Below are 15,577 nucleotides of genomic sequence, written 5' to 3'. Positions count from 1 at the left end.
CTTCATTTCAACAATATGGATTTCCTTGACAGTGTTCAAAGACAGCTTGGATTTTACTGTCTCTATGTCTCCAATGACTTACTCATTTATGATCAAAAAAGTCATGGCCAAATTCAGTCCTATGAAATCCTCTCTGGCTACCTCAGATAGAAATTCTCTTTCTTTATCCTCAGAGCTCCTACAGGTCTTGTTTTTTTCTCTGCCTTACCATTACATGTGCTTGTCATCTCTCCAACCAAGATGCTCCTCAAGAAAATAAAACGTGGAGTGGGGCAAGGGGGAAAGAAGAAAAAAAAAGGAAATCTGTTCTAATATCTTGGTAATTACCACGGGACCCACACAGAGTTATCAGGACAACTCATCCTAAAATATAACATAGTCTTCCACTCTTCTGTCTATTGAACTAAGTCTGAAATCCATTAGCTTTCTATAATCTGACCCCGATTCATATTGGTCATTTACTCCTTTTATATTGATTTACTTAACCCAGACTCTTCCTCTCATAATCCTGTTCTGATTAAGCTTGTAAAGGTAAATATGCACATACATACAAGTGAATGTTTGTATATACATATGTATTGTATATATGCAGTTAAAAAAAGTTGCAGGTAAAATATACTCTGGAAGGTTAGAGATGAGAAATGGAAGACTATCTTTTACTTTTCACCTAATATCCTTTTATAACTTTTTTACTAGGGGCACATATTACTTTTAAAAGAAAAGTCAAAATAAATACAAACATTTCCAGGTGCGGTGGCTCACGCCTGTAATCCCTGCACTTTGGGAGGCCGAGGCGGGCAGATCACTTGAGGTCGGGAGTTCGCGACCAGCCTGACCAACATGGAGAAACCCCGTCTCTACTAAAAATACAAAAAATTCTATTTTTTTTTTTTATTTAGCCGGGCGTGGTGGCTCATGCCTGTAATCCCAGCTACCCTGGAGGCTAAGTGGGAGAATTGCTTGAACCCGGGAGGCAGAGGTTGCAGTGAGCCGAGATCGTGCCACTGCACTCCAGCCTGGGCAACAAAAGTGAAACTCCATCTCAAAAATAAATAAATAAATAAATACAAACATGTATAAAATGTCTTCTAGTTTGCTGACTTGATTTCTTCCCATTCTTCAAGGCCCACCTCAGCCCTACCTCCTCCCAGAAGCCCTTGCAATATATTTCTATGCATGGCCATCATTAAAAATATATATATATTTTCTACTTCATGATTCAAAGATCTATACTGGTATTTACAGGTGAGTTTTTTAAAAACCAAATCAATAAATTTTTTAATGACTTTAAAAAATCTACTATCTAAAACATAGCAAATAGCCATTTTTAAGAATGCTCTTATTTAGACTAGGAATACCTTAAGGACAGGGGTGCAGTTGTAGTCCTCTTTGTACCCAAGCACAGTATACCCTGGTACAAAGAAGACACCCAATAAATGCTTATTAAATGAATGAATGGAATTTCCTGTAGGCCTTTCTTATAAATCACCGGGTTGAGGAAGGTATACTCATTTGCAAATATATGAACATGTTATGGATCAATTCCAAATTCTGTGCAATTTTTGAATGCTTCAAAAACTTTCTGCAAATTTTAAAAATTCTCTAGAAAGATGTCAATTTTTAAAAATATTAATACAGAACTGTAAGGTTGGGTAATGATATTGCTATTTAACACCTAGTGATCTATACTACTAATTTAGTGTGATGCTACAAATTTGTTTTCTTTCAAATCCAAGCTCTTTCAGCAATTTAAAGACTAACATAGACCTAAAACATTAGCTCCCTGATAATTCAAGAAATATACAAGCCATTCAGTTTCATATACAAATAAGGGGAGAATGCTACTATAGCAAAAAAAGGACTACCTATTTAGTATACAAGAAATTAACTACTGTACATCACTGTGACTTTAGTTAATAACAATATATAATTGCTAAGAGAGTAGATTTTAAGTGTTCTCACCATAAAAAAATTGAAGTAATGAACGTTAAATAGCTTGATTTAGCCAGTCCACGATGTATACTTATATCAAAACATCATGCTGTATACCATAAAGATATACAATTTTTGTCAATTAAAAATAAAATCAAGTTACCTTCAATGGATCAAGTTCATTCTCATAGGATTTGACAATTTCCTTTGAAGATGTTAACTGGGCTTCCTTACTTGTAATCTGATCACGAATCTCACAAGCTTTTTCCTTATATTGCTTCAGATATTTTAGTTCCATTTGATATTCTTTTACTTTCTGACCTTGTGTCTGACGTACCTGCCGAAGTGTTTCTAAGGCTTTAATGTATCTTTGAAGATATGAAACAAAAATCAAATTTCTGGCAAAGTAAATTATGGTATATATTCATACAGTGGGATATTATGCTGTCACTAAGATTACAGTTACAATGAGTTTTTAATAACTTGTAAAATGCCTATGACATAATGGTAAGTGAAAAAAATTACATTTATACTGTCAATCAGGTAAATAAATATACGCACAGAAAGACAAGTGAAAGAAAATATGCCCAATGGTTGCTGCTGGATGAGAGGTAGTAACTGATGACCTTTCTGCTTTTTAAATTTTTTCTGTTAAAAAGAAGCATCCAAATTGCAAACACAGTTCAATAACTTAATGGACTACAAAGTCTATTTAAGGGTTACAAACCTTGTTGCTGAAAAAATCTCATCAAACTTTTGCTTCAAAGCCTTTCCTTCACTTAAAGGCCAATTAGAATCTTCTTGATGACAGAAAATGACATTATTTAGCACAGCCTTGGAAACCCCAAGAGAACTGATCATTTCTCGGTCAATTTCTGCACACTTAGAGCTCAGACTGACCTTTTCACCATGCCTACAGAAAATGAAAATCAAGAATATATGTAAAATAACCTTCAGTGTATCTATTCTATTGCTTAATCAATTCATACTGTACTTCTTTAAAAGAATAAAAAAAAAGGCCCTTCACCTATCCCGTTAGAAATGGCTTCATCATGCTAAAAAGTGTAACTCTTAAACTATTTAACGGTTCACAGATGAAAAGATATGTAAAACAAAGTAGTTCAGGAAAGGAAGCCAGAATTTATTTTTTACATATTTGGACTTTTAAATATAATAATTTAGAATACTTAGAGATACTATATAGAGCATTAACTGTCTTAAAAATAAGAGACAAAGAATAAAACAAAACATGATGATCAATAGCAGACAGGCAAAGGTAAGTTAAAAACATCTTAGAATGGGGTTCTTTCTTCAGTAACAGACTGCTCTGGTGAGCAGAGGCAATATCTGTCTTTACTGTTTTTTATACATTTCAATTTGTATTTTGAAAATATTACACTGGGCCAGGCACGGTGGCTCATGTCTGTAATCCCAGCAATTTGGGAGGCCGAGGTGAATGGATCACCTGAGGTCAGGAGTTCGAGACCAGCCAGACTAACATGGTGAAACCCTGTCTCTATTAAAAATACAAAAAAATTAGCCAGGTGTGGTGGTGGGCACCTGTAATCCCAGCTCCTTGGGAGGCTGAGGCAAGAGAATCACTTGAACTCGGTGAGGTTGCAGTGAGCTGAGATTGCATCATTGCACTCCAGCCTGGGAAACAAGAGCGAAACTCTGTCTCAAAAAAAAAAAAAAAAAAAAAAAAGAAAGAAAAAAAATATTATACTGAATATATTAAGAATGCTTTGCAGAGGGCTAGAATAGACACAGATAAATCAATAGGTTATCACATGAGGTCATGGAAAGACAATGGTAGCTTGGACTAGGACTAGAATGGTGGTTGTAGAGATGGAAACAGATTCCAGAGACATTTAGATTAAATTCATAGGTCTCAGTAATAGACTGGATATGGAAGGCAAAGACATATCAAGACTTAGGTTCTTGGCTTTTGTCACTGGACGGATAGTGGTATCATTCACCAAGGTGAGGTATACCATAAGACCAAGTTGTTGGAGGTTTTTTAAGGGGGGAGGTCAAAGAGAAAGGACTGAGTTTGGTTTTGGAAACGTTGAACCTAAGTTGTCTTTGAAACAACTGGTAAAAAAAATCAGAGATGGGGCTGGGCGCGGTGGCTCACGCCTGTAATCCCAGCACTTTGGGAGGCTGAGGTGGGCGGATCACGAGGTCAAGAGATCAAGACCATTCTGGCTAACATGGTGAAACCCCATCTCTACTAAAAGTACAAAAATTAGCCAGGCATGGTGGTGCACGCCTGTAGTCCCAGCTACTCAGGAGGCTGAGGCAGGAGAATCGCTTAAACCCGGGAGGCGGAGGTTGCAGTGAGCTGAGATTTCACCACTGCACTCCAGCCTGGGTGACAGACAGAGCAAGACTCCATCTCAAAAAAAAAAAAAAAAAAAAAAAAAATCAGAAATGGGTAAATAGGTCTGGGTAAATGGGTCTGGAAACAGAGGTCTGGTTTGGAGATATGACATAAATCTGTGAGTCATCTATGAACACAGAGTAGTTTGAGCAATGGATAAGAATGTGATTACCTAGGAAGAAAATACAGAGCAAAAAAAAGGAGAAGATACAGGACTGAGCCTAATGAGACTTCCAACCTTTATTGATGGGGTGAATGAAGTAGTATGTAGCTGTGATAGAAAGAGAGAACAGTATTGTATCATGGAGGTCTAGAAAAAGAAATTTTCAAATAAAAAGTAATAAACTAGCATTTACTTAGCTATGGTACATGGAACAATGGTCCTCCAAGATGTCCACATTTTAATCCCTTGAATTTGTGAATGTTACATTGCACAGCAAAAGAGAATTAAGATTACAGATGGAATTAGGGTGTTAATCATTTGACCTTAAAATAGACTATCCTGGATTATTTGGATGGGGCAAATGTAATCACATGGGTCCTTTAATGTGAGAGAGGAAGGCAGAAGAAGAGAGAAGAAGAGGTCACAGTGATTTGATATGAGAAGAACTCTGCCCACTATTGCTTGCTTTGAAGACAGAGTAAGAGGGCATGATCTAAAAAATATGGGTGGCCTCTAAAAGACGGAAAGAACAAGGAAACATATTCTCCCTTAGAGCCTCCAGAAAGGAACGTAACCCTACTAACATCTTGATTTTAGCCCAGTGAGACCCAATTCAGACTTCTAAACTACATAAGTGTAAGATAATAAATTTGTATTGTTTATAGCACTAAGTTTGTGGTTTCTTATAGCAGTCATAGAAGACTAATACATGAACTCTTACTACATGTTAAGCATTTTATATGCATTAGCTCAACCTTGACAACATCTAAGATACACACAGTGAAAATGAATGCCTACTTTACAAATGAAATAAACAGAGGCTCACTCTTAGGTCTACTTTGTATAGCAGCAGCATTACCCTAATTAAAAACAGAGTTATTAGTAACTTTAGTCAGAGGTGTTTCAAAGGACGAATGGGACTGCAATTGGAGTGAAGAGGAGGTGAAGAAATGGAGACAGTATCAACAACTCTTTTGAGAGACTGGCTATAAAGGAGAAGAAGGAGACAGGTAGTAACTGGAGTGGAATGAAATCCCAGGGTATGAGAGATACTTGAGTGTGTTAAAATGGCAATGATGAAAACCTGCTTGAGAAGCCAGTATAGTGCCTCCAGCACATAGTAGATGTGCATTATTGGTTAAATAAAGGAATTACTTAGCTAGTTAAATAAAAGGGAGGAGAAGAAGCTGAATAGTCAAGTAATTTGCTCAACAAAGACAGAGACTTGAATCTAAGGTAGTCTAATCCCCAAATCCATATCCATTAGAAAATGATACCTGCCTCTAACAGAATGATAATGGTTGAAAGGAACAATTTATCATTCTTTCCTACTTGTCTGCTTCTCATCTCACCCATTCTTAAACATGACACTAGAATTTTTTACTCATTCAACCTGTATTTGAGTGATTATGTGCTTTCAATTCAGCAACTGTTCAGAAATTACTCAAGAGAATGGAACATAACCCTAAGTCTTTCATGGGATCATTCTATTTAACTGACAAATAGTATCCACAAAAAATCAAATGTTCATAGTGGAGGAGGCTGTGTGTGCGTGGGGGTAGGGAGAAAATGGAAGCTCAGTACTTTCTGCCCAATTTTGCTATAAACCCAAAACTGCTCTAAAAAAATAAAGTCTAAAGTCTATTGAAAAAAATTTAATATGCTCCCCTAAACTTATAGTAGAAAACAACCATCAACTTACAGACCTAAAAGACTGAAAATGAACAGAAATTCAAATATCATATAAACACCTACTTTGTTCTAGTAATGACTCCTTCCAGAGTTTTAAATTCTGTCTTTTTGCTTTTCTGAGTACACACCATAGATCTTTGCACAGCTATAAGTTCTCCATTGACATCACGAAATTGCAGACGAATCTGGGCTCTCACATCTGTTTCTTGAGCAACCTTTGAAGGAAAACACAGAAAAAACTTATGTTACTTTAATAAGCACCAGTGTTGGTTCTGAGAAAAAGGCATAAGCAATCTTACCCAAAATGAGGGAACAAAAAGAAAAACATCCAAAATGAGTGATATTTTTACATGCTATCCAAAATATAGAAGAATACTGTTTAATTAATTTACAAAAATGATATACTATCTACCTCCTTTATTCAGCATCATTAGGAGATCAGGTATGCAGATTTTTCAAATAAATGAATTTTATCTCTGTAAGCATCAAAAATGTTTTTTATCCTTAAAAATTGCAAGTTTATAGAAAGGTAGAATGATTTGGTTTGTCTTTGTCTCCACCCAAATCTCATCTTGAATTTCCACATGTTGCAGGAGGTACCCAGTTGAAGGTAATTGAATCATGGGGACAGGTCTTTCCCATGCTGTTCTTGTGACAGTGAGTAAGTCTCACGAGACCTGATGGTTTTATAAGAAGGAGTTTCCCCGCACAAGCTCTCTTTGCCTGTTGCTGTCCATGTAAGATGTGACTTGCGCCTCCTTACCTTCCACCATGATTGTGAGGCCTCCCAAGCCAGGTGGAACTGTAGTCCATTAAACCCTTTCTTTTGTAAATTGTCCAGTCTCAGGTATATCTTTATTAGCAGTGTGAAAACGGACTCATACAGTAAATTGGTACCAGGAGTGGAGTGCTGCTGAAAAGTTATCCGAAAATGTGAAAGCGACTTTGGAACTGGGTAACAGGCAGAGGATGGAACAGTTTAGAAGGCTCAGAAGAGAGGAAAATATGGGAAAGTTTGGAACTCCCTAGAGATTTGTTGAATGGCATTGACCAAAATGCTGATGAGGATATGGACAATGAAATCCAGGTTGAGGTGGTCTCAGATGGAGATAAGGAACTTGTTGGGAACTGGGGCAAAGGTGACTTTTGTTATATTTTAGCAAAGAAACTGGCAGCATTTTGCCCCTGCCCTAGGAATGTGTGGACCTTTGAACTTGAGAGAGATGATTTAGGGTATCTGGTGAAAGAAATTTCTAAGCAGTAAAGCATTCAAGCGGTGACTTGGGTGCTGTTAAAGGGATGCAGTATTAAAAGGGAAACAGCATAAAAGTTTGGAAAATTTGCAGCTTGACAATGTGATAGAAAATAAAATCCCATTTTCTGAGGAGGAATTCAAGCCAGCTGCAGAAATTTGCATAAGTAACAAGGAACCAAATGTTAATTACCAAGACAATAAGGAAAATGTCTCCAGGGGCATGTCAGAGACCTTTGTGACAGCCCCTCCCATCACAAGCCCAGAGGTTTAGGAAGAAAAAATAGTTTCGTGGGCCAGGCCCAGGGTCCCTCTGCTGTGTGCGGTCTAGGGACTTGGTGCCCTGTGTCCCAGCCACAACTAAAAGAAGCCAAGGTACAGCTTGGCCTGTTGCTTCAAAGGGTGGAAGCCCGAAGCCTTGGCAGCTTCCACGTGGTGTTGAGCCTGCAGGTGCACAGAAGTCAAGAAATGAGGTTTGGGAACCTCTGCCTAGATTTCAGAGGGTGTATGGAAACACCTGGATGCCCAGGCAGATGTTTGCTGCAGGGGTGGGGCCCTTATGGAAAACCTCTGCTAGGGCAATATGGAAGGGAAATGTGGGGTTGAAACCCCACAGAGTTCCTATGGAGGGGACTGCCTAGTGGAGCTGTGAGAAGACAGCCACTGTCCTCCAGACTGGTAGATCCCCCAGAATAATAGATCCACTGACAGCTTGCACTGTGCACCTGGAAAAACTGCAGGCACTCAACACCAGCCTGTGAAAACAGCCAGGAAGGAGGCTATACCCTGCAAAGCCAGAAGTGGAGCTGCCCAAGGCCATGGAAGCCCACCTCTTGCATCAGAGTGACCTGGATGTGAGACATGGAGTCAAAGGAGATCATTCTGGAGCTTTAAGATACACCTGCCCCACTGAATTTCGGACTTGCACGGGGCCTGTAGCCCCTTTGTTTTGGCCAATTTCTCCCATTTGGAATGGCTGTATTTGCCCAATGCCTGTATCCCCATTGTATCTAAGAAGTAACTAACTTGCTTTTGAGTTTACAGGCGCATAGGCAGAAGGGACTTGCCTTATCTTGGGTAAGACTCTGGACTGTGGACTTCTGAATTAATGCTAAAATAAGACTTTGGGGGACTGTTGGGAAGGCATGATTGGTTTTGAAATGTGAGGACATGAGATTTGGGAGGGGCCAGGGGTGGAATCATATGGTTTGGCTGTGTCTCCACTCAAATCTCATCTTGAATCCCCATGTGTTGTGGGAGAAACCAGGTGGGAGATAATTGAATCACGGGGGCAGGTCTTTCCTGTGCTGTTCTCATGATAGTAAGTCTCACGAGATCTGATGGTCATTATAAGGGGGAATTTTCCTGCACAAGCTCTCATTTGCCACCATGTGAGACATGACTTTCACCTTCCACCATGATTGTGAGGCCTCCCCAGCCACGTGGAACTGTAAGTCCATTAAACCTCTTTCTTTTGTAAATTGCCCAGTCTTGGGTATGTCTTTAACAGCAGTGTGAAAATGGAGTAATACACAGAACTACAGTATACATAGCTTTCCTGCCCCCCAAACCACATGAGAGTAAGTTGCTGATCTGATGTCCCAACACCAGTATTTCCTACAAAACAAGGACATTTTCAACAACAAAAATCAGGAAACTGATACTGATATATTATTACCACATGGTCCACAAATCCCATTCAAGTTTTGCCAGTTGTTCCAAAATGTGATAAGTTACCATTAACTCAGCTGTGGCATATAAAATAATGGTTCTCCAAAGATGTCCACATTCTAATCCCTTGAATTTGTGAATGTTACATTACACAGCAAAAGAGAATTAACATTACAGATGGAACTGGGGTGTCAATCACTTGACTTTAAAATAGAAAGATTACCCTGGATTATTTGAATGAGGCAAAGTATCTACAAAAAGTTAGATGCTGATAGTAGAGGAGGTTGTGTGTGTACAGGCAGGGAATATACAGAAACTGTACTTTCTGCTCAATTTTGCTATAAACCCGAAGCTGATCTACAAAATAAAGTTTAAAGTCTGTTGAAAAAAATTTAATATGCTCCCTTAAAGTAGTAGAAAATGACCATCATCTTATAAGACCTAAAAGACCAACAATGAACAGACATTCAAATATCATATAATCACCTATTTTTTCTGATGTCTTCTGTCTTATATTAATATGGTCACTTCAGCATTCTTTTCATTAGCTGGCACGGTATATTTTTTCCATCCTTTTGTTTTAAACCCATCTGTACTATTATATATAAAAACACTGTTATTCCTTTTACTTTATTTAGGGTTTTTTGGTTATTGTCCTCCATTTTTCTCATGTTTTTATTTTTATGTTTTTATTTATATCTATGAACATAGTTATAAGATTTATAATAAGATTTTAAGGTTCTTATCTACTAATTCTATCATCTATTCATCCCTAGGGTACTTCTGTGGATGCCTTCCTCACTCAGTCCTACCTAATGGCTTTTGGACTGAATTAATCAGGAATGAATAACTATTCATCCATTAGTTATGCTGAGAGTTTTTATCATGAATGAGTATTAAATTGAAAAGCTTTTTCTGTATCTATTGATGCTCATATGATTTTTCTTCTTTATTCTATTACTGTGGCAAATTATACTGATTGTTTTTTTCTTTTTCTACAGCCTAATTCACTTGTCCCAGTACGTCCTTTAGAGCAAAAGGATTCAGTTCAGAATTACACTTTGTATTTGGTGGTTATGTCTCTTTACTTTCTTTCAGCCTGAAATAGTTGCTCAGATTTTCCTTGACTTTCATGACTGATAATTTTGAAAAGTACAGACCATTATTTTGCAGAATACCTCCCAAAATTTGGGTAATATTTCCTCACGACTAGAATCAGGTTATGTATCTTTGGCAAGAATATTATACAAGCGATGATGAGTTCCTTTTACTGCATCTCATCAGACAGGACATCATTTCCATTTATCTCATTACGGAGGGTATTAACTTCAATCCCTTTATTTATTTTTTTGAGACAGGGTCTCACTTTGTCATCCAGGCTGGAGTGCAGTGGCATGAACACAGCTCACTGCATCCACGACCTCTGAGTCATAAGCAATCCTCCTACCTCAGCCCCCCAAGTAGCTGGGACTATAGGTGCATGCCACCACACCCCGCCAATTTTTGTAGTTTTTGTAGAGATGTGGTTTCACCATGTTGCCTAGACTAACTTCAATCTCTTGATAAAGGTGTATCTCCTAGCTTCACCAAAAAATTTTTCTTTACAATTAATTAATAATTTGAGGGAGAGATGCAGAGACCATACAACTATCTCATACTTCATCAAACTTTCTTCCATTAGTTTTAGCATCTACTGTTTCTTACCTGAATGAATTATTATTATGACAGCTATCAAATACAGGCATACCCCATCTTATTGTGCTCTTCAGAGGTTTGTGGCAACCCTGCATCTAACAAGTCTATCGGTGCCATTTTTCCAACAGCATGTGCTCACTTTGTGTCTCTGTGTCACATTTTGGTAATTCTCACAATATTTCAAACTTTTTCATTATTATTGTATCTGTTATAGTGATCTGTGATAAGTGATCTTTGATGTTACTACTGTAATTGTTTGTGTGCCACAAACCATCCACATATAAGAGGTGAACTTAATCCATTAACGTGTGTGTCCTGACTGCTTTACTGACCTGCCATTCCCGTCTCTCTCCCTCTCCTTGGAACCTGATTGCCTGAGACACAATAATATGGAAATTAGGCCAATTAGTAACCCTACAACAGCCCCTAAGTGTTTAAGCGAAAGAAGAGTCAAACATCTCGTTTTAAATCAAAAACTAGAAATGATTAAGCTTAGTTGAGAAAAGCATGTCAAAATCCAAAACAGGTTGAAAGTTAGGCCTCTTTCATCAGTTAGCTGAGTTGTGAGGGCAAAGGAAAAGTTCTTGAATAAAATTAAAAGTGCTACTTTAGTGAACACACAAATGATAAGAAAGTGAAACAGCCTTACTGCTGATATGGAGAAAGTTTTAGTAGTTGGGATAGATTAAACCAGCCACAACATTCCCTCAGGCCAAAACCTAATCCAGAGCAAAGCCCCAACTCTCTGCAATTCTATGAAGGCTGAGAGAAGTAAAGAAGCTGCAAAGAAAAGTTGGAAGCTAGCAATGGTTGGTTCATGAGGCTTAAAGAAAGAAGCTGTCTCCACAACATAAAAGTGCGAGGTGAAGCAGCAAGTGCTGATGCAGGAGCTGCAGCAAGTTATCCAGAAGATCTAGCTCAGGTAATTGATGAAGGTAGCTACACTAAACAACAGATTTTCAATGTAGACAAGACCGCCATCCATTAGAACTTAACCTGCAATATCTAAGGTATGCCTATAGTAATTTTCTAGTTCCATTATTCCTTTTATATTAGTTAAGGTTCTAGTATAAGGGGCTTTGCTCTTTCTCCATTTCCCCCCCCATTTTCTTGTATCAGTATAAACTCATAGATTCCTTACTTGGGCTCCAATCCCCCACCAGGCTGTCACAGCTTGTTTTTGTGGATGCCTTCCTCACTCAGCCACACCTAACGGATTTTGGACTGAATTATTCAGGAATTAATATTCCTCCATCAGTTATGCTGAGGGTTTTTACCACGAAAGACTATTAAATTGAAATGCGTTTTCTGTATCTATTGGTGTTCATATGATATTTCTTTTTTATTCTGTTAATGTGGCAAATTATACTGATTGGTTTCTTTTCTACCGTATCTCTCTAAGCATTATCTAGCTGCACCCCACATATTTTTACATGCTATATTTTTGATTCATTTAAAGTATTTTTTCTAATTTCCCTTGTGATTCCTTTTTTGATCCATGTAATATTTAGAAGTATGCTGCTTAATTTTTCAATTATTTGGGGATTTTCCGGATACTTTTCTGCTACTGATTCTGGTGTAGTCACAGAATACATTATCTATGACTTTACTCCTTATAAATTTATTGACACTTGTTTTACAGTCCAGAATGTTGGTCTATCTTACAGAATGTTCCACATGCACTTGAAAATAAAGTGTATTCTGCTATCGTTCAATGGAATGTCCTATAAATGTCAATCAGGTTGATTTGGTTAACAGTGTTGTTAAAATTTTCCATATACTTACTGATATTTCATCTGCTTCTTTTCTCTACTGAGAGGGGTATTGAGATCTCCAATTGACCTTGCAGATTTGTGTATTTCTCCATTCTGTTCCATAGGTTTCTGCCTCATATATTTGGAAGTTTTACATTTAGAATTTTTGTGTCCTTGCATTAAATTGACCTCTTCTCATCATAAAATGTTTCATTTTCCCTAGTTCTGATGTCTTCTGTCTGGTATTAATATGGTCACTTCAGCTTTCTTTTCATTAGCTGGCACAGTATATTTTTTCAATCCTTTTGCTTTTAACCTATTTGTACCATTATATACAAAACACCATTATTCCGTTTATTTGGGTTTTTAAAATTATTTTCCATTTTTCTCATTATGCTTATGTTTTCCTTTATATCTATGAGCATATTTATAAGAGTTATAATAAGGTTTTAGGGTTCTTATCTACTAATTCTATTATTTCTTTCATTTTGGATCTGTTCATATGATTGATTTTTCTCTGATTATGGGTCCTATTTCCCTGCTTCTTTGGATGCCTGTTAACTTTTGATTGTGAATTTTGTATTGTTGGGTGAAAGATTTTGTTTTATTCCTTTAATGAGTACTGAACTTTGTTCTGGCATGCAGTTAAGTTTTTTGAGCAACAAACAGTTGGATTCTTTTGAACCTTTGTTGTTAAGGTCTGTAAAGGGGGACCTAGAGCAGCTTTTACTCTAGGACTAATTTACAATCATTTTCGACATTTTCCTTCAGCCTCAAAAACTTTCTTTAACAATTACTATAGTGCAAGCCTGTCTGTAACAAATTACCTCTACCATTTTGTTTTAAATCTGAAAATGTCCTCCATTTCACCTCCAATTTTCAAAGAATATTTTTGCTGGATATAGGAGTTTAACTTTTATTCCCTAGCACCTTAAAGGTGCTGTCCCACTGTTTTCAGGTTTAGATTGCTTTTCCTAAGAAGTAATCATACTCATTATTCTTTCCCTCTGCATGATGTGTTACTTTTTCCTCCACCTGTTTTTAAGATTTTATATTTAGTTTTGAACAATTTGAATGTAATGTACAACATAGTTATGTTTATGCTGCTTGTGATGCATTCAGCTTCTTGGGTCTTTTTTTATAGTTTTTATTACTCTGTTTAGATGTCTTCCCACACATTATGTCCATCTTTTCCTTTAAGTCCTTGAGCTTATCTATCATAGCTTTAAAAAAATCCGGTCGGGCGTCGTGGCTCATGCCTGCAATCCCAGCACTTTGGGAGGCCGAGGCAGGCGGATCACAAGGTCATGAGTTCGAGACCAGGTTGGCTAATATGGTGAAACCCCGTCTCTACTAAAAATAAAAAATAAAAAAATAAAAAATCAGCCGGGCATGGTCGTGGGCACCTGTAGTTCCAGCTACTCGGGAGGCTGAGGCAGGAAAATTGCCTGAACCTGGGAGGCACAGGTTGCAGTGAGCCGAGATTGTGCCACTGCACTCCAGCCTGGGAAACAGAGTGAGACTCCATCTCAAAAAAAAAAATTTAAAAAAAATTTAAAAAAAAATCCTTGTCTGCTAATTCCAAAATCTGTCATCTCTGGATCTGCTTCTACTCACTTTTCCCTTCTCAGGTATAGACCACATTTTCTTTTGCATATTCCCATTAATTTTTAAAATTATATTCTGCACATTGTAGATGCCACATTGAGAGCTTCGACTGAGTAGGCTTCCTTTAAAAAGTCTTGAGTTTTGTTCTAGCAGCCAGTTAATTTACTGGCAACTCAGCTTGATTCTATCAAAACCTGGTTTCAGTATTTGTTAGGTGGGCCTTTCTGAGGTCTCAAGTGAACACTGGAGAGTTCCACAAGGTCACTCCATTCTGGCACATCAGGACTCAAATGTCTCACAGCATTGTGTGACCTTTAGAATACAACACTCACAGCCCCACTTGCCACCTTGGTAGTTGTTCTCTACTAGCCCTCATTAAATCTCATCCTATACATGGATAGCTTAGTATTTGGCCAAAGACTCAAAAGATCCTTATGCAGATTTCTGGTACACCATCTCTGCACAACAACCCTACTTCAGTACTCTGCTCTACAATTTCCAGTCACTTTAGCAAATCCAAAATCCTATCTTTGTTTCATCTGCCTAGTGATGCCCAATTCTGCCCAGCTCTCTACTGGATTCCAATTCCATGTGCCAAAGTTTACAAAGTGTTCCCAGGTAGAAAGCTGGAATGAATGCAGAATCACCTTTTATGTTTCTCCTTTCTCAAAGAATATAGCCCTGCATTATCTGTGGTCCAATGCCTGAAAATAGTTGTTTCACATACTTTTCCAGTGTTACAGTTATTCATCTTGCGAGTATAAGTGTGATACTCATTATTTTGTTGCAACCCAAATCACAAGTACTGGATTCTGCTTTAAAAAAAAAAAATCATTAAAGATCCTTTGCTGACTTTTTAATGACTTCTTGGCATGAATTTAACTTTGATACTAATTCAATTAATCATTCAACAAATATTTACAGGCACTTTGTAGGTTTCATGTGTTGTTTTGGTTCAAACTGACAGACTTTTTTTCCTTTGAAGCATGCAAGATAGGTTAAATGTAGACAAGGTGTGCTAAACACCATCATAAGCACAGGATAATCTGGGAGTACAAAGCAGGAGCATCTAACCTATCTAGGACAGCTCAGGGAAGGTAGTCTAAAGGAAGTGAATGTTTAAATGAAACTTCTACCAATCTGGGTAGAAGTTAACCAGATGAGAAGATCTGAGTCACTACGTGACTACAGAAATTTCAGAATGTTTGGCATAGAAAGTAGGGAAAAGAAGAGTATCAACCTAAAATGTTTCAGAAATTAACAGCCTTCTAAACTTGGTAAGGCTTTTGGATTTAAGGTGATGGCACTAAATGGTTTGAACCAGGGGAATTGCATGAAGTAGATATGCATTTTAGAAGAATTATTTTGTCTTTAGGGTGAACAGAGTGAACTGAGACAAGACATGAAGCAGGGAATAATCGAGGAGA

General features: G+C 37.6%; 1 protein-coding gene across 1 annotated transcript in view; it reads right to left on the bottom strand.

The window, feature by feature from the left end:
• Nucleotides 1-15,577, bottom strand: part of RAD50 (RAD50 double strand break repair protein) — an 89,373-nt gene that overhangs the window by 64,188 nt on the left and 9,608 nt on the right. Inside the window, exons 3-5 of the mRNA NM_005732.4 lie at nt 6,234-6,385; nt 2,660-2,845; nt 2,096-2,300 (exon numbers count right to left, since the gene is read on the bottom strand). Coding sequence (NP_005723.2) covers nt 2,096-2,300; nt 2,660-2,845; nt 6,234-6,385 — 543 coding nt within the window. The remainder of the gene's footprint in view (nt 1-2,095; nt 2,301-2,659; nt 2,846-6,233; nt 6,386-15,577) is intronic.

Source organism: Homo sapiens, chromosome 5 (genome assembly GCF_000001405.40).
Source record: "Homo sapiens chromosome 5, GRCh38.p14 Primary Assembly".
Lineage (NCBI taxonomy): Eukaryota > Metazoa > Chordata > Mammalia > Primates > Hominidae > Homo > Homo sapiens.
This window is presented reverse-complemented; position numbering and strand designations above follow the sequence as displayed.